This window comes from Homo sapiens, chromosome 9 (assembly GCF_000001405.40).
Source record: "Homo sapiens chromosome 9, GRCh38.p14 Primary Assembly".
In the NCBI taxonomy this organism is placed as follows: Eukaryota; Metazoa; Chordata; class Mammalia; order Primates; family Hominidae; genus Homo; species Homo sapiens.
Window position 1 is genome coordinate 117,270,227 of NC_000009.12, and position 19,758 is coordinate 117,289,984.

Consider the following 19,758-nt stretch of genomic DNA (forward strand, 5'->3'; position numbering starts at 1 on the left):
TTAAATGTACAACACATAATAGTTTGCTATAGGTGTAATGTGGTGCAGCAGATCCCTATAACTTATTCATCTTGCTTGGCTGAAACTTTATACCTGTTGGGTAATAGCTGCTCATTTCTCCCTCCCTCTAGTCTCTGGAAATCACCACTCCACTGGTTGATGTTATGAATTTAACTACTTGAGGTATCTCATATAAGTGGAATCATAAAGTATTTGTTTTTTTGTGACAATGAGGGTCACAGAGACATTAAATGGCCCTTGTGCCTCTAACATGCCACAGTTTCATGAGTTTCTTTGTCATTAACTTTTCCCTATTTGCTACCACAGGGCATTCCTAACCTTTCAATTATCCCCAAGGGATACCCCTGTACCTGGCATAAGGATGTTTGGTCTCACCATTGAGTGGCTCTGTGATCTTGGACATGATAAACTTTTCTAAACTTCAATCTTCCCATCTATAAAACAGAGCTAATACTAATGACAAAAGCTACAATATTAATACCTAATTGTTTTCAGGATAAAATGCAATAGTAAATGTGTGGATATTTTCTTGAATCTGCCAAAGCACTGTACAAATATTACCTAGCATTATTATAACTATTATCACTTAAGTGGAATGCATTCTTTTAAAAGTGATTAACTTTTGTCAACATAGAGTTGATTCGTGAAAGTATAAATGGTCCTCATTGACCCATACATGAAAATCCTTGTTTTCTAAGATCTTCTCTTCAAAGCTTCTCACTCAGCTTTGAACAGATACTTTCAAATGGACACTCACGGCATTTTATCAGGAAGATGAGAAAATGTTATTTTAGCATAGCGGCTACTAGCACAGACCTGGGATTCCCACATCCTGGACTTGTATCAGTCCATTTTTATGCTGCTGATAAAGACACACCAGAGACTGGGAAGAAAAGGAGGTTTAATTTGACTTACAGTTCCACATGGCTGGGGACACCTCATAATCATGATGGAGGGTGAAAGGCTCTTCTTACGTGGTGGCAGCAAGAGAAAATGAGGAAGAAGAAAAAGCAGAAACCCCAATAAACCCACCAGATCTCATGAGACTTATTCACTGTCATGAGAATACCATGGGAAAGACCAGCACCTATGATTCGATTACCTCCCCTTGGGTGCTCCCACAACATGTGGGAATTCTGGGAGATACAATTCAAGTTGAGATTTGGGTGGGAACAAAGCCAAACCATATCATTCCGCCCCTGACCCCTCCAAATCTCATGTCCTTACATTTCAAATCCAATCATGCCTTCCACAGTCCCTCAAAGTCTTAAATCATTTCAGCGTTAACTCAAAGTCCACAGTCCAAAGTCTCATCTGAAACAAGGTAAGTCCCTTCCACCTATGAGCCTGTAAAATCAAAAGCAAGGTAGTTACTTCCTAGACACAATGGGGTACAGATATCGGGTAAACACGGCTGTTCCAAATGGGAGAGATTGGCCAAAACAAAGAAGTTACAGGGCCTATGCAAGTCTGAAATCCAGCAGGGCAGTCAAATTTTAAAGCTCCAAAATGATCTCTTTTGACTCCAGATCTCAAATCCAGGTCACGCTGATGCAAGAGGTAGGTTCCCAACGTCTTGGGCAGCTCCACCCCTGTGGCTTTGCAGGGTATATCCTCCCTCCCAGCTGCTTTAATGGGCTGCCATTGAGTGTCTGCAGCTTTTCCAGGTGCACTGCACAAGCTGTTGATGGATCTTCCATTCTGGGGTCTGAAGGATGGTGGCCCTCTTCTCACAGCTATACTAGGCAGTACCCAAGTAGGGATGCTCTGTGGGGGCTCCAACCCCACGTTTCTCTTCCACACTCCCATAGCAGAGGTTCTCCATGAGGGCCCTGCCCCTGCAGCAAACTTTTGCCTGGGCTTCAAGGCGTTTCCACACGTCTTCTGAAATCTAGGCAGAGGTTCCCAAACCTCAATTCTTGCCTTCTGTGCACCTGCAGGCTAAACACCATGTGGAAGCTGCCAAGCCTTGGGGCTTCAACCCTCTAAAGCCACAGGCTGAGCTGTACATTGGCCCCTTTCAGCCACGCTGGAGAGGCTGGGACACAGGCACCAAGTCCCTAGGCTGCACACAGCACAAGGACCCTGGGCCCAGCCCACAAACCACTGTTTCCTCCTGGGCCTCTGGGCCTGTGATAGGAGGGGCTGCTGTGAAGGTCTCTGGCATGTCCTGGAGATGTTTTCCCCATGGTCTTGGGGATTAACACTAGGCTCTTTGCTACTTATGTGAATTTCTGCAGCCAGCTTGAATTTCTCTTCAAAAAAATGGGTTTTTCTTTTCCACTGCATCATCAGGCTGCAAATTTTCTGAACTGTTATGCTGTTTCCCTTTTAAAGTGGAATGCTTTTAACAGCACCCAAGTCGCCACTTGAATGCTTTGCTGCTTAGAAATTTCTTCTACCAGATACCCTAAATCATCTCTCTCAAGTCAAAGTTCCACAAATCTCTAGGGCAAGGGCAAAATGCTGCCAGTCTCTTCACTAAAACATAACAAGAGTCACCTTTGCACCAGTTCCCAACAAGTTCCTCATCACCATCTGAGACCACCTCGGCCTGGACCTTATTGTTCATATCACTATCAGCAGTTTTGTCAAAGCCATTCAACAAATCTCTAGGAAGTTCCAAACTTTCCCACATTTTACTGTCTTCTTCTCAGCCCTCCAACTGTTCCAATCTCTGCCTGTTACCCAGTTCCAAAGTCGCTTCCACATTTTCAGTTATCTTTTCAGCAACTCCTCACTCTACTGGTACCAATTTACTGTATTTTTAGTCCTTTTTCACATCGCTGATAAAGACATACCTGAGGCTGGGAAGAAAAGGAGGTTTAATTTGACTTACAGTTCCACATGGCTGGGGATGTCTCTTAATCATGGTGGAGGGCAAAAGGCACTTCTTACATGGCAGTGGCAAGAGAAAATGAGGAAGAAGCAAAAGTAGAAACCCAATAAATCCACCAGATCTTGTGAGACTTATTCACTATCATGAGAATAGCATGAGAAAGATCAACCCCCATGATTCAATTACCTCCCCTTGGGTCCTTCCCACAACACATGGGAATTCTGGAAGATACAATTCAAGTTGAGATTTGGGTAGGAACACAGCCAAACCATATCAGGGCTCTAGTCTGAGCTCCATCCATTCTAGTAGAAGAGTTTTCCCTCCTGAACCTCAGTTTTCTCACAGGTAAAGGTTAGTTAACAACAGCCTTCTCAATGGAGTGCTGTAGAGATTAGATAAGGGACGAGTGTGTGAAGTGTTTAGTGCTATTCTTGGGACATAAAAAAGACTCAGGATATGGTATTATTAATAACAAAGTTTTACTGATGCACAAACAGCAGCAGCCAAAAAGACGGGGCCATGCACATGAGCACACAGAAGCAGAACAGGATGGCTCAGGTGTCCATTTTCATTGCCCATTCCTCCATGCCACCTGCTCTAATATATACCCTTTCACATGGTGTTAAAGGATGAAAAACGCATTTGCTTAAAATCCATCTGCTTTTTATAACTTCCAGAGACCAAAATCTGCACAAGCAGCAGTTCTTTGTGGCTCCTAATTAATTCCTAAACAAAGACTGCTCTGGCAGCAGCCCAGTTTATCAAACCAATTGACCTCCTGGTGCAGAAATGATGACACAGATGTTGTTGCTATGTCACAACCTCATTTTTCACTTTGCATCACTTGGTCAGGCCAGACATATCTTCACCTTCTGAGGAGTAGAAGATAGTCCCCTGGGTGACTCTGAGACCCTAATTGTTATCTCCCATGGTTATGGGCCTTTCTCCACTCAGGCGCCTCCCAACAAAAGTCTGGAGTGGAGGTCTGGTGTGGTAGCTCACGCCTGTAATCCCAGCACTTTGGGAGGCCAAGGCAGATGGATCATGAAGTCAGGAGATCGAGACCATCCTGGCTAACATGGCGAAACCCCGTCTCTACTAAAAATACAAAAAAATAGCCGGACGTGGTGACATGTGCCTGTAATCCCAGCTACTCAGGAGGCTGAGGCAGGAGAATCGCCTGACTCTGGGAGGTAGAGGTTGCAGTGAGCCAAGATCGCACCACTGCACTCCAGCCTGAGCAACAGAGCGAGACTCCGTCTCAAAAAAAAATAGTCTGGGTTGGAACAGGCCAGAAAACATCACCTGTCTTTGGTTAATCTGAGGGCTTCCCAAGCTAAGGAATCTCTAATCTGTAGGGTTCTTGGGAGGCTACCAGTAATAATAATCACAGTGGCCATGAACCCAGTGTCTATTATGTGCCAGGCACTCTCCTGTGCATTGTGCCTGCTTTATCTCATTTCATTCCACACAATCTTTGAAGATATGAGTTAGCATCTTAAATTCAAAGTCAAGAAAACAGAATATTGGAGATATGAAGAAAGGCTTCACAACACTGGAGGTGCCATGGCACTTCGTATAGGTGAGTTACCAAGAACTTCTTTCAAGTTATCTCATCAAGGCCTCACTCCATCACTGTAAGGTTCTGACAGGTTAGACAACTATTTCCAGGTCATACAAGTAGTAGGCCAAGAAATGGTCTTCAAAAGGGGTGGGCCTTTCCTCTGAGTTAGTTGTTCTTCCAATTGGATTAGGAACTCACTCTTATAACCCCAGATAACCTTATTACCTCCTTAAAGGCCATATCTCCTAATACAGTCACGTTAGGGGTTGAGCTTCTTAATCAATATGCTAATGAAGACAGCATGGGCTCAAGGCTGAATCTAGGTTTTGGGTGGTTGTGTGACCTTGAGCAATCTCAGGCTTTTCATCCAGAAAATGAGTATATTCTTACACATTTCATCTGTGAATAATCATTAACCACCAAAGTTCTTGCCATTGTATATCAAAGACTGCCTTTCCTCTATTCTCCAATATCATCTTCCTCATTTCCATCAGAAACCTCACCACATGCACCTTTAGCATCCATTTTTTCTATCAACAGTGTTTTCAAAGCAACCTAGGCTTTTCCAACATGCACTTCAAAACTCTTTGCGGCCTCTACCCATTACTTAATTCCAAAGCCACTTTCACATTTTTAGGAATTTTTTTTACAGAAACACCTTACTTCACAGTACCAAAATCTGTATTAGTCTGCCCACACTGCCATCACAGCATACTAAAAACTGGATGGCCTCAACAACAGAATTTTATTTTCTTACAGTTCTGGAGGCTGGAAGTCTAACATCGAGGCACCAGCAGGATTGGTTTCTGGTAAGGCTTCTGCTGGCTTAGAGATGGACACCGTCTTGCCCTGTCTTCCCATGGCCCTTTCTCTGCTGTGGGTGTGCTTTCACTGATGTCTTTTATCTCTCCCTCTTTTTTTTTTTTTTTTTTTGAGACGGAGTCTTACTCTGTTGCCCAGGCTGGAGTGCAGTGGTGCAATCTTGGCTCACTGCAACCTCCGCCTCCCAGATTCAAGGGATTCTCCTGCCTCAGCCTCCCAAGTAGCTGTGATTACAGGCATGTGCCACCATGCCTGGCTAATTTTTGTATTTTTAGTAGAGACAGGGTTTCGCCATGTTGACCAGGCTGTTCTCACTCGAACTCTTATCCTCAAGTAATTCGCCTGCGTTGGCCTCCCAAAGTTAGTGTCTCTTCTCATAAAGACACAAGTCCTGTTGGATTAGGAGCTCACTCTTATAACCCCAAATAACCTTAATTACCTCCTTAAAGGCTGTATCTCCTAATACAGTCACATTAGGGGTTGAGCTTCAACATATTAATTTGCAGGGGAACACAATTCAGTCCATAATATCTGCCATTCTGACTGAAAACACCTGCTTAATATATTGTCAGGAGATTTTAATGAAATTTTAAATGGGATCATGTTCTATTAATGTTAGTTGGTCAAGAGCATTTGAGCTTCAAGAACAGCTACAATTTATTGAGAAATTTCTATTTATCAGGCACCAAGTCTGTACTTAACATGGATGCTTCCATGCCTCACAATGATTTTATTTGAGAAGGTATTATTGTTGGCACTACTTTACATTTGAGGAAACCAAGGCTCAGGAGAAGGCAAGTAGCTAGCCCAAGATCACACGGTTATCAAAAGGCTGAGAGATCCCGTCCAACAGACTCTCCTCTCCCATACTAGGCTGTTGCAATCATTCTGATGGCCCAGACCTTCCCTGCAAGTGGGAATCCTTCACCTGAGAACATCTGCTACCACAAGAGAGAGGAACTGACCCTCATCTCCCCCCAGACAGCCTCTGGTGACTTTACACACCATCTAAACAAAGCCTCTGGCACAGCCACCAACATATTTCACTCCCTATTAAGGAAAGCTGAGACAGGGCAGGCCTCTGGACACTTCATTAGGGGAACATCAGGACACATAAGGACTGTAATAAAACAGGAACCGAAGAGGGTGTCCATGGGGAAAGCCCGGAGCTGCTTGTGCTTGTACCCCTGCAGAATTTTAGAGGAGGAAGGGAGGGCTGAGGGCACAGAGAGACAAGGGCGGGGGAGAGGGGGATGAGATAAGGCTGCCATGGGAAAGCAAGAGCTTTGCTGCCAACAGAGCAAACACAGGATGTGGATCCCAGCTCAGTCTCTCCCTAGCTGTGTGGTCTTGGGCAAGGCCATTTCACTTGATGTACCACAATGATCCAATCCATAAGATGGAGATATCAATGCTTGCCAGGTGGGATTTTGTGAGAATTAAATAATAATTTTAAAAATTAGCATGTTAAGGCTGTGACTTTCCCCCTAATGGTTTCGATGAACTGTAGGTGGACATGAGGGCGATCTGGCTGCAACATCTGTCACTCCATTGACCTCCAGGGTTGATTCAGCTGATCTGTCTGGCAAGGGAGGTGTCCTCTTCCCCCCTCACTGCTCTATGTGTGTCCCTCCCAAAGCTGTATGCTCCGTTGAAGAGGATGGCCATCCCCAATAGAGGAGGACTGTTTTTTGGTCAAGGGCATACAGTAGCTGCACGCCCCTGCTAGAACCTCCAAACAAGCTTTCAGTGAGCTGTAAGTTTATGATTCTCCACCTTTGTAAATTCCCCAAAACCTCTAATTGGTGTTCAGATCAGGCATACATAGGGTAAGGTTCAGGAAACTATCTTTTAAACAAACACACAAGAGAATTCTTTTTGTTGTTGGTAGTGGTAGTAAATTTATTCTTGAAACCATTTCAATGAGATATATTAACATGTAAAAAGCTGTGCATATTTAATGTATATAACTCAATGAAATGGAACCTTGGTGCCCTGTTAGTGGGAATGTACATTGGTACAGCCATTATGGAAAACAGTAGATAAATTCCTCAAAAAATTAAAAATGGAACTACCATATGATCCAGAAATTTCACCCTAGGTAATTCTTATGTAGGAAGAAAATCCTGCTCCACACCTAGTGAAATACCAACAGTAAACAGGAGAAAATAATATCAGGCAATTTTTAAACCTCCTAGTAATAGTGGTAGTGCAAGGACTTTAGAATCATGACACTTGGTTACCAATATTATGTTGCTTATGTAGGATGAAATATATATTATCTATGGATTTTAGTCTCCTCCTAGGTGATCTGGGTAAACTACCCTAAATAACTGTTTCAAGAAATAAGTAAAATAATGCACATAAACTTCCCTGCATATTCCCCACCATATGGTAAGTGCTCGGTATTATTTCTCTGATAGATTCATTTTCACCTAGCTCTTGCAAATGACTTGTAATAATCCCTCAACTGTGGAAAACATAGACACAAAAAAATTTTCTACCTCAATTCCAACCTCACATTTTGTTTAATAAAGCAATTTACAGGGGGTAAAAATAATTAGTGGTTTTAAATGCTTTAATACAAGCAGGCGCTGTAATCATGATAAATCATCTCTGACATATGCCCAGCTCCTCCAAGTGACAGATGACAAACAAAAGCAGGACAAGGTCCTCCGTCACAGGCGGAATCATTGAATTAATGGAAGAATTATTGCTTCTGAAATCCACTCCAGTCCTATTGAGGAGAACGTTCCAATTTATCAAAGCCAAATGAACATTAATTGCAGCAGTCTGGTAAGTTTTCCAGCCACTATGACCTTCATTGAATTTTAATCCAAAACAGATAAGATTTCCTTCCACACAAGAGGAAACAACACAATTAGCTCAAAATGACAGCTAGATTATGAAGCAGGCACACACAAACAACACACACACATTCACACTCACGCACACTCCCAGTGAAAATATTGATTCTACTTGACTTAAAATTCAGCACAAAGGAGGTGAGCAGAGAAAAAGGTAAATAAATACCATCACCACATCTGCCTAACCCCTTCCCCCTCTTCATTCAGGAGAGAAATTTTAGAGGCGGAAGCCAAGATGGAGAAGGTGGCAGGCAGTAATGGAGACAGAATTTCTGTTAACTGCTGTAATTAATGTTATGTCTCATCAGGGAGAGATTAGGAAAAAACAGAGAAGGAAGGAAGAAAAAACAAGTGTTATTTTGCTATTAAAGACGCCCTTGAGCTGGGAACATTAGCAGCCGAAGTTTGAATTGGGTAATTGTTTGACTGTATCGGTGGATTTGCAGACAGGATTACCACAGTGAAGTGAAATGTAGTTGCGCTGAACCTACAGCGTGAGTGGCTCCCTCAGCATGGAGCAAGGGGCCTTCTGCTGGGTGCAGTTTATAGCCTGACACAGGCACACTGCCCTGAGATTTAGATGGGAAGGCCAGCTCTGTCATCAACCTGCTGTAAGACATCGTGAGTCACCCTTTGAGACCTAAAAGCTTTGTTTTTGTATTTATTTTCACTCTATTAAAGGGGTTGAACTGGAGTTTTTAAAACGCTTTTGTTTTTTGAGAATTAAATCAGAAATTTCTGTTTTCATCAATTCTAAATATCTGTGGCCAGAAAGAACTGGCTGCCTTCTTCCATGGTCCAGGGTCAGGCTTGCCTCAATATCTCATAGTCTCGTAATTGGATGATTATGGAGATGAGCTCCTAAAAAGTCCTTATCCATCCTTGCCCCCTATAAGAAAGGAAATATTATACAGCAGATGGAGCAGAGAGCTCATTTGGAACTAGAAATATATGTTTAATTCTGGGCTCGGACACTGGCTATGTGATCATACTAGAGAGTTGTCTTAACCTTCTAGACCTTGGTTTTATCATTTGTGAAAACGGAACAGTAAAAACAGCAATATCAATAGTATCATTAATACAACATTTGTATAGAGTTTGCATATTTACCAACTTTTAACTGTAGAAACTATTACTCTCACCATTTTACAGTTGAGAAGACAGAGGCACAGAGAAGTTAAGTAACTTAACCAATGTCACTCTACAAGTTACGTGGTGAGGCCAGGATTCCAATCCAGGCAGTTCTGTCCCAAAGTCAACATTCTTGTTTTGGGTTTTAGCCTTTTTATTTTGAAAGAATTATAGACTCACAGGAAGTTGCAAATTTAGGAGAGAGCTCTTGTGTACTCTTCACTCAGCTTCCCCCAATGTCAACATTTTTCATAACTATAATAAAATAATGAATACCAGGACATTAACCATGATTCAACACTATTAACTAAACCACAGACCTTATACAAGTTTCACAAATGATGCCTCTTCCAGCTTATGGTAGCTCTTGGTTTTCCTTGGCTTGGGCTACATAATGCTCATTTCTCTCTCCATCTTCATACCATCTTCCCCTGTGCCTTCTCTTCCATGTGTCTCTCATAAGGACTAATTTTTTTAATTTTTTTCACTAATGTCCTTGTTTTTCCACTAATGTTTTTATTTTGGTCCAGGATCCCACATTGCATTTAGTTGTCATATCTCCCTAGTTTCCTCCAATTTGTGACAATTACTGTTTTCCTTGTTGTTGTTTTTGTTGTTTATGATCTTAACACTTTTGACCATTGCTTGTGAATTATTTTGTAGAATGCCCATCATTGGGTTTGTCCATATTTTTTCATGATTAGAATGGTTATACATTTTTGGCAAGAAACCCACAGAAATGACATTGTCCTTATCAGTGCATTACTTCAGTGGATTCATAACGTCAATGTGTCTGATGAGTGAGGATGTTAATTTTGATGACTTGGTTAAGGTGGTGTGGTCAGTTGAATAGTGGGTCCCAGAAAGATATGCCCACACCCTAATCCCTGGAGTTTGTGAATGTTATCTTATTTGGAAAAAAGGGTCTTTGCAGATGTAATTGAGTAAAAAAATCTTATGTATAACAATCTGAGTTATCAAGGTGAACCCTAAATCCAGTGACAAGCATCCTAATGAGAGGCGCATGGAAGAAAAGACACAGGAGAATGTAGTATGGAGGCGGACGTAGAAATTAGCGTTCAATAGCCCAAACCAAGGAAAACCAAGAGCTACCATAAGCTGGAAGAGGCAAGACAGGATTCTCCCTTCGAGCCCCAGGGAGAGTGTGGCCCTGCCAACACCATGATTTCAGACTTCTGGCCTCCAAAACTGTGACAGAATAAATTTCTGTTGTCTTAAGCTTCTTAAATTATGGTAATTTGTCACGGCAGCCTTAGGAAGCAAATACAAGTGGTATCGGCCAGATTTCTCCACTGTAAAGTCACTATTTTCCTTCTGTAATTAATAAATGTCTTGGGGGGAGACACTTTGAGACTCCACAAATACCCTATATCTTCTCAAAATTTCACCATTAATTTTAGTATACATCAGTGGATCTTGTCAGTAGTAATTATTACAGTGGTGATTGCCTAATGGTGATTTTCTGTTTCCCTCTTTCCTTCTACATTTATTAACTGGAATTCTACTGTAAGAAAGAGCAATCTTTTCTGCCCCATTTATTTATTTAGTCAATTATTTATATCAGTATTTTAAAGTCAATATTCTTAATAACCTCCCAACATAGCTCAAAGGATGTTTGTGAAGGCCAAGAACGATAACAGAGTAGGAAGAATATTTTTAGAGGCCAAAGGAGAAGAAAGGGACCTTCCCTGGGCACCTTGCTGATGCTTCATGAGCCTTTTATCACTTATTCCTCCCCTCAGCCCCATGAATGTGGATCTCTCGCCTCATTTACAGCTCAGGAGAAAGTGAGGTTCAGAAAGGTTCAGTAATGTGCCAAAGGACACACAGCAGTAAGGGAAAGAATCACAGTTTAAGTCCTCATCTGTCTTGTCTCCAAAACCACGTGATTCCCACCAAATCAAGCTATGCTCTGAAGACTGGGAAGGAGGGAGAAAGGTGGATTAATTGAAGGGAGAGGCAGAAGTTCCAATATATCCAAATCAAAGCTCACTTTCCATTTTTACTGTGGGCTTATTTGGGGCATATGAGAAAGGGAGTAAACAGCGTGAACCTCACTGCAAATGTGCTCACAGCATTCATTTTGTGTTGCTGTTAAAATACCACACAAAAGCCCCAGGTTCTTGAAGGGGAGGAAAATGTGGAACAGGAGGCTGGGGCAGAGGAAGTTGGGAATGGTCACCAAGGGGACACACGCCCTGACTCTCTTGCCAACCTGTCCGCCCCTCCCCACTTTACTTCCCTGCAGTCTCTGGATCTCCCCTCTCCTTCCCTTCTCCCAGACTCCCTGTTGCAATCCAGTCCACCCTGCCCTGCCATGGCCTCTTCTCAGATCCACAGTGCTGGGTGCCCCTGCCTCCAGCCCTCTCATCTCTGCTGGATGCTGTCTGGGCTTGATTGCCTCCTCAGCCTCGGATCACCCCGATTGCCCGCCCTTCACTCCATCTACCTCGCTACCCGACTCCCAGCCCTTTCTTGAGGTTGAGTTCCATCTGCTTCTCTTACTCGCTGTCTCTCTCTTTTCCTGTTCTCTTCTCTCTGTATCACTTCCTCCATGCTTTTTATTCTCTGTTTCATTTTCCCCCATCTCTGCTTTTGTTGCTAAATCCCTTTCTGTCTGTTCTTGCCAATTCTCCTTTATTTTTCTATGTCTCTCCCATCCTTGGTGCCCCATTCTCTCAGTTTCTTCTTTATTTCTCTCCGTCTCTAGTAATTTCAACGTACCTAGTATAGAATAGTTTCTCAATCAACATGGGTTGGATGTTTCTGTCGGTATTTTCTTCTGCTTCCCTCTGTCCATATTATATATACATAGCTATAGCTATACACGTTCTTATTCTGCATTGTGCTTTGGCCAGGAGGTTCAGTGGAACTGCCTTCAGGCCCTTTTCCTGAGCTGCCTCTTGCCATCTCCAAGATACCCTTGTCAAACTTTTCCATCTGGGCTTTATCATTGGCCCACACTAATGGGACAGGGATGAAGAACATCCATTCTCCAGCTTCATTTTCCCCATCTACAACATGAAGGTGGGGTACATTCTATTGCTGTGGCAATTGCTTGCATGTGCACCCCCTGTAAAAGAATTGCACACCCCTGCCATTGGCTCTGGGCTTGGCCATGTGATGTGCTTTGGCCGATAGAATGTGAGAGAACCCACATCTGAGCATCAGTTTCAAGAGGCATCCTATATTTTTGCCAGCTCTCTTGCTCATTCCCTCTGCCATGAAAACCAAATGTTTCAAACTGGGGCTCCCCTTCAGCCAAAGTACCAGAAGGAGAAGACAAGCAGAGCTGAGCCTGCAGTGACTGCAGCTGCCGATGTGTAAGGTGCATGAGAAGTAAAGCATGGTGTGGCCAAGGCACTATGATTTAGAGTGGTCTGTTTGCAGAATAAACAAGCAAGAGCTGACTAGCCTGGAAGAGTTGGATATTCTATGAGGTCTCAGGTGTTTTCAGCTCCAAGATCCCACTATATTTCATACTTCTACTGTTTTTTTTTTTTTTTGGAAACTCTTGCTAAATGGTTTTATGTGCATTAAGTTTGATGTTATGATTTTAATTTTATTTCCATTTTGCAAATGATCACACAAGAAACTCAGAGAGGTGAGATGACTAGCCTGCATTTCTATAGCCGGTATGTGGAAGTCTAAGCTTGAAACCAGGCCTCCTGAAGCCAAATTCCATGCTCATTCTACTTCGCTATGGTGCATCTCTAAATGTTGTGAAAAATAAGCATTTCCTATATTTCCTACACATGGAAGCTATGGCTTATTTTCCTACTTTGCCCACAGGCCTAGCTAGAGACCCTGCAGGCTTTTAGTGAAACCATGTTGTTGAAGCAAGTCAAGACCAAGCCACAAGGTTCATGTGACTTAAAATTTTAAAGTATTTTTTAAAGTCTATACTTACAATATTAAAAGTTCTACTTTCTGGAAAAAAAAACGTGAATGATACTCATGGGGTATGTCCCACTTTTGTAAAAAAGTACTTGGGATATTTGTGTTACAAAACTTCATCATACCTTGGCAATTGATATAAGCTTGGTATCTTCATTTTTAGATGGGTGCAGTGAGGTTAAGAAGGGGATGTGACTTGCATAAGATCATGGAGCATATTGGTGGCACAGCAGAGACACATAACTATTTGTGCTGCATGTATTACATGGTTTTTCCACTACTAGATGTTTGCCATCCTCACATTTTAAATAATCCCTCTCAGGATCTGTTTTCCCTACTACTCTGTCTTTTCTCTGAAAAGCATTTGGGAATCACAGTCTGTAACAGCTTGGCTTCTCCTACCCTAGTTGTCCTGAGTGACCTTCAATGATATTACTTATAAATAACATGGTGGCAGTATTAGGTTGATGCAAAAGTAACTGTGGTTTTTGCCATTGAAAGTAATGGTATTTCTCAAAGTTTCACCATTAATTTTAGTATACATTGGTGGATCTTGTCAGTAGTGGTATTATTTTCAATGGCAAAAACCACAGTTACTTTTGCACCAGCCTAAATATTTATTGTTTTCAGTTGAATTGGGTCCTCCAAAAGCAATATGTTAAGCTCCTAACCCTCAGTACTTCAGAATGTGGTGTTATTTGAAGACAGGGTATTTATAAAGGCAATCAATTTTTAAATGAGGTTGTTAGGGTGGGACCCAGTCAGAGTGCAGCGGCATGATCTCAGCTCACTGCAACCTCCGTCTCCCAGACCCAAGCGATCCTCCCACCTCAGCCTCATGAGTAGCTAGGACCACAGGCTCACACCACCAAGGCCAACTAATTTTTTGTATTTTTGCTATAGACAGGGTTTCACCATGTTACCCAGGCTGGTCTCAAACTCCTGAGCTCAGGTGATACACCCATCTCGGCCTTTCAAAGCGGTAGGATTACAGGCTTCAGCCACCGCACCTGGCCTCTGGTGTCCTCATAAAAGGGGGAGAATTGGGGCATAGAGACAGACATCACATGGGCAGAATGCCATGTGAAGATGGAGTTCTGCTGCCATAAGCCAAGGCACTACCAGAACCTAGAAGGAAAGCCTGGAGCAGATCTTTCCCTGGTGCCTTCAGAAGGTGCATGGTCTCACAGATATCTTGATTTTAAACTTCCGGCCTCCAGGATTGTGAGATAATAAATGTCTGTCTTTTAAGCCACTCAGTTTGTGGTACTTTGTTATTGCAAACTAGGAAGCTAATGCACTTATAAGTAGCAGAGTAATGACATTTATAGAACCAGGGCTGTGTGTCAGGCTCCAGCATATGTGCTTTATATCTATCATCTCTGATGATTCTCACAACAGCCCCTCTTTAGACAGGTAATTCCATCAGAGAAAGTACATGCTCAAATCCCACTACTACCAAGTCAGTTATGGAGCCAGAATGTGAACCTCAGAACACACAGAGTCACAGGTCTTACAAGTTAGTTATACTTCCTGTGCTTATTTTCTCAACAGTAGAGCAGGAGTAATAATATCTATTGAGATTACTGTAAGAATTTAATGAGTTAAATACATGTCAAGTACAATCACACTAAGCACTGTAAAAGTGCTTGTTAGCATTATTAAGATTCTTCAATGTCTTGATTACTCAGTTATTATTTCTACTCAGTTACTGTTTCTCTTAAGATATGGCCCCAAAAATAAACACAATATTTCAGTTCTCGCCCAGTACCTCTAGAATTATTTGTTCAGAAACCTAGCCTTTTATTAATTCAACTTAAAATATAAGACCACTTTCAGCAATGAGACCCCATAGTTGGCTCAATCTGAGCTGGTGGCTGATTTTGTAAAAAGCTTTTTTTTTTTTTTTTCTATCTCTTTTTTTTCTAGCAGATAGGCTTTTCATTGCTAGATTTAATAGGCAGGTAAACCATTCCATGATTGAATGATTAAATCAATGAATGAAGGAATATGCTATGAATGAAAAAACGTCACGGTTGGAGCAATGATATAAAGCCATCTTTTACAGAAACCTTTAAAAAGTGTTATCCCAATATCACACCGATCCTCTAAACAAAGCTACTGAATAAGAATGGTAGTAATAATTTCTTAGATTTGTGTGACATTTTATATTCCTCAAAGTATTATTCTATGTTATTATATCACAGAGTCATAGATCATCTAAATTGGAGGCAACTACAATAGTCATCTAATTTAACTATTATTCCTCTCTAAACCCCAGTGACTTTGCCTGCACAAACTCAGGGAGAAGAAACCCACAACTTCTTGATTCGGCCTACTCCACCGATGGATAGCTCAGACACTTTGAAGTGTTTGTCCTGTCGTGCATGAGAATTTTGACCTCTTGGAATCCTGAATCCTCCCTCATTGGAGGCCAGCAATACAAATCCGTGGCATTTTCTTTGGGATGATCCTTCTGAGAGAAACATGCCCTCAAAATTCTTTTCTTCTCCTACATCAAACCAAACATTTCTTTTCATCCCCTTTCTCAAAACATTTTGTCACCACAAAGACAAAAGGGAAAAAACAAAAGCGCCAAGATAAAACATATTGGTCTCAAACAGTTTCTATCTAGTAACTCTTGTGGAAATCTTTAAAACAAGACACATCACATTAAAATGAAATTATATTTCTCACTGTTAAAAAGGGGGAGAGGAGGAAAGAGTAGAATTATATGACCAACCCTCTGAACCACAAGTGATAACTATTTTTGTTGAAAGCAACTTTGATCTATGCAAAAGTGAAATATATATTGAAATGCCAATGTGACAATGGCAATGGCAACAAAAAGCAAAATGAAAAAAACAAATAAATGCAAAAAAGAAACAAGAAGTTGTGATCACATCTGCTAGGACCTATTGCATTTCCTCATGCCTGCGTGAAGCAGATAAACTCTTCCCACTTTCTTTTTTTTTTTTTTTTGAGCAGAGTCTCACTCTGTTGCCCAGGCTGGAGTCCAGTGGCGTGATCCTGGCTCACTGCAAGCTCCGCCTCCTGCCTGCAAGCAGGCAGATCACGAGGTCCGGAGATCAAGACAATCCTGGCTTCCCACTTTCTAAATAAGGATACCAACACTAAAAGAACCTCTTTCTTTATCCTGCAAGTTTGCATATGTAGATCACAAACTTAGCTGGCAAATAGTTAGGGGCCCATAATAGCTTGTTCTGATAAACAATGTAAAGTGCACCCCAGGATTCAAGCCATGGTTTTCCTCTGACTTTGCACCTGTAGTCAAATCACTCAGCCTGCTTTGGATTTCTTTTCTCCTATCTATAAAATGCTGGCATGAGCAACTCCTCTCCCTAACTGACAAGTTTCCAATTTCTATCAAATGTTTTGTGCACCTGGAGTGAATACTCTATAAAATAACAGACATGATAACCCTCACTATAGCTAACATTTTAATAACGGCTACTGCTTTTTGAGCACTTACAGAATGTCAGGCACTGTGCCATGCAGAACTGTGCCCAAGCACACAGACTCTCAGTTTGGACAGACCAGAGTTAGAATCTCAACTTCAGCACTTATTGGTGATGTGGATGGGCAAGATGCAAAAATCCCACTAACTCCTAAGCCCTCATCTGTAAATGAAGGGCAACAACATTACTTATCATATAGAGGCATTGGAACAATTAGATGAAATAATAGAGGTGCTGCACTTAGTGCCTGGCATACAGAAAGTTCTCAGTGGTGGCAGTCATTATTTTCATTGTGCAGGGCATTTGTGAGTGTGATCTCATTCCGTGCCTAGAAAAAAAATCTCTAAGTATTGGGGAATATTATTCCAGTTTTACAAATGATGAAGGTAACTTGGCCAAGGACACAAAGGTAGTGATAGAGACATTATTCAACCATGGAGTTGATTTCCAAGTCATAAACCCTCATAAAATACCCATGGATTCCACATAGGGTACAGTCTTCGTAAGAATTCACTCATGAAATCTTATCAATTTAAATCAACAACGGATGCATAGAGAAGGAAAATGGTGGCCTGTTATATAGATTAAGGGCATAGTTTCTGAAACCAGCTTATATAGAGTGAAAAATTGGGTTTGCCACTTAACCTTTGTGTGATCAATGTCACGTAGATAGGTATTTATTAACATTTCAGATTCCTCATGTGAGGGACAGTATCCATCTTAAGGTTTGTTGTGAGGATTGAAAGTGATAATATGCAGAGAACAAAATTTGGAACACTGCCTGGCATACAGTAAATACTCAAAATAAATGTCAGGTATTATGATTATTTCTCTAGATCAGGCAGCAAAATAGCAGCAAATATAAGACTAAAGCCAATGTCTTTTTACTCCTAAGTTGAAGTCCTTTAAACATTGCTTCAATGACAATATTAATAGCCATTTGTGACTATGCACTCAGTATGTGCCAGCCTGGGTATTAGGCACCATTGTATGTTTTTTCCACTCTTTTCTCCACTCTTTTCAATAATTTTTCTCCACTCTTTTCAATAATTCTGTGAGATTGGTATGATCAGTTTTGTTTCATACATAAGGAAACTGAGGCTCAGAGGCATGAAGGGATGTGCCTAACGTAAAATTACCAGGAAGCAGGAAGTAGAAGAGACTATATTCAGAGCCAGGTCTGCTGAATTCCATCGCTCTGCTTTTTTTCTCTGCATCCTGCCACCTGCACAGCTGAGGAGGGTATGCTGAAGCTGAGGCAGAGGACAAGAGGAGATGACTGTTTACTCTCACTTTCTGGACTAGGTTCAGAGTACTTCCTTGCTGCATCACCTTTTGTGATATTAATATTCAGATGATGCAACCTTTGGGACAAGGTAGATGCTCGACTCTAGCCTTCACAAGCCTACAAAGCATGATGGCTCCACCCCAGGAGGCATGGATGGTAGCAGGTTCCAGTGGCTGAATGGGAGCTGGTTTCCCTGCATGGGTGAGCAGGATATCTGTGCTGTCAAAAGGGGATGGAGTGCATAGACCCTAGCCTCCAGACTTCTTTGAGATTTGACTAGAAGATTTGGGTCTTCTCACAAACCACCTTGGATCTTCACCAAAGATGAAAACAATAGTGTATCCAGCAGGGTCAGGGCCATGATGTCATGAATTGCCAGACACAAGTTTTAATCCTGGGGAAATCCTGGCCCCAGAACTGCCTTTTTGTTAGCCCAGGAGACTTAGACAAATCAATTAAACTCATGAATCTCAGATTTCTCAGTTGTGAAATGGGGAGACAGATCCCAGCCATCTTAAATGTAAACACTCTTTTTGTTCTTGCTGCATTGTCTGTGGCCAGAATGACAAGGGTAGAGTCTGAGCCACAGAGAGGCCTGACCTCCAGGCCAAGCCCTGCTGACTGACTGAGGGATCTTAGACAAGTCCTAGCCTGTCCCAGACCTCAGTATCCAACTATGGAATAAAAGGGTATAATAAATCAGCACATCTCAAGTTTTTCAACTAAACTGCCCCTATTAACAAAAGCAAATACCCTTAAGTGCCAAGCTCCTCTGATCTGAGGACTTGTTGTGTCTACATAACTATTAGTATAATCCTTGTTCTATAAATGACAAAAACAAGACAAAGGGCTCATACCCGAGTTCAGTGTCAGAGAGAGACCTCAAGTCTGTGCTCCAAGTCTGTGCTTATGGCTGTCTTCCTACCTCTAGAGAGAGCAGTGTTATTGGCATGCCCCACCTCTCAGAGGAAGAACACCCTGGGGTTCAGTGTCTCCAAGACATGACTCTGTTCCCTGAGGGGAGGGCAGGGACAGGAGAGATCCAGATTATGGAGCCCTGAATGGGGGAAGGAACTTTGGACCACACGGTGGTAGCCTTGGGTCACTTTGGCTCATGGGTGGGGAGGGTCTGAAGGGTGCCAGCTTCCACGTTACCTACTCTGCCAGCCAAATCTGGAACTACAGGGAATTTCAGTGACATCTGGGTCTTAGTGAGTTATTATTTCGAAGCTGAACTCACTGAGCAAAAGGGAAAGTTGAGGAAAACCTACCATCCTGGGGAGAAAGTCTGATTCAGTGAAACTAACACTGGACCTGGAAGCAAAAAAGACACATTGGAGGCTCATTTATAATTGAGATAATACTATCCAGGTTACTGGGTTACAAGAAGGATACATGCAAGTAAATGTGCTGAAACACAGAAAATGTTTAATGAACATTGGTCAAAATTGAGTCTCACTCTCAAATGTTAAAGGAAGAAGAGCATTCACACCCCTCCGCCTCTTCCTAACATTAGATGGTGTCCCACACCCCATGAGGAACTCAGCAAGTGCCCTGAGATGGTGCTTATAAATTTGCACCCCAAACTTAGCATGCAGGCACCCACTTGCTTGGTGTGAGGCTGCATCATTTGCTAAATATACATATGGAAAAAGTCTATCACACTCATTCCATGAATAACACAAAGGCCTTGATTTGTTCCTCCACGTGATGAGCATGCGTAAGGTCCAAAATTAACATTGCTGTCTGGCTGGGGAGTGTATGTGTTTTTCCAAAAAGAGAAAACTTCTAAGATCTTACTCAGCCCTAATCAGAATGTCTAATGCACA

General features: G+C 42.0%; 1 protein-coding gene and 1 pseudogene across 3 annotated transcripts in view; one reads left to right on the forward strand and one right to left on the reverse strand.

Moving 5' to 3' along the window:
- The window catches only part of ASTN2 (astrotactin 2), a 991,946-nt gene that overhangs the window by 847,115 nt on the left and 125,073 nt on the right, over positions 1-19,758 (reverse strand). The window lies entirely within an intron of this gene.
- Positions 6,759-7,060, forward strand: RN7SKP125 (RN7SK pseudogene 125; annotated as a pseudogene).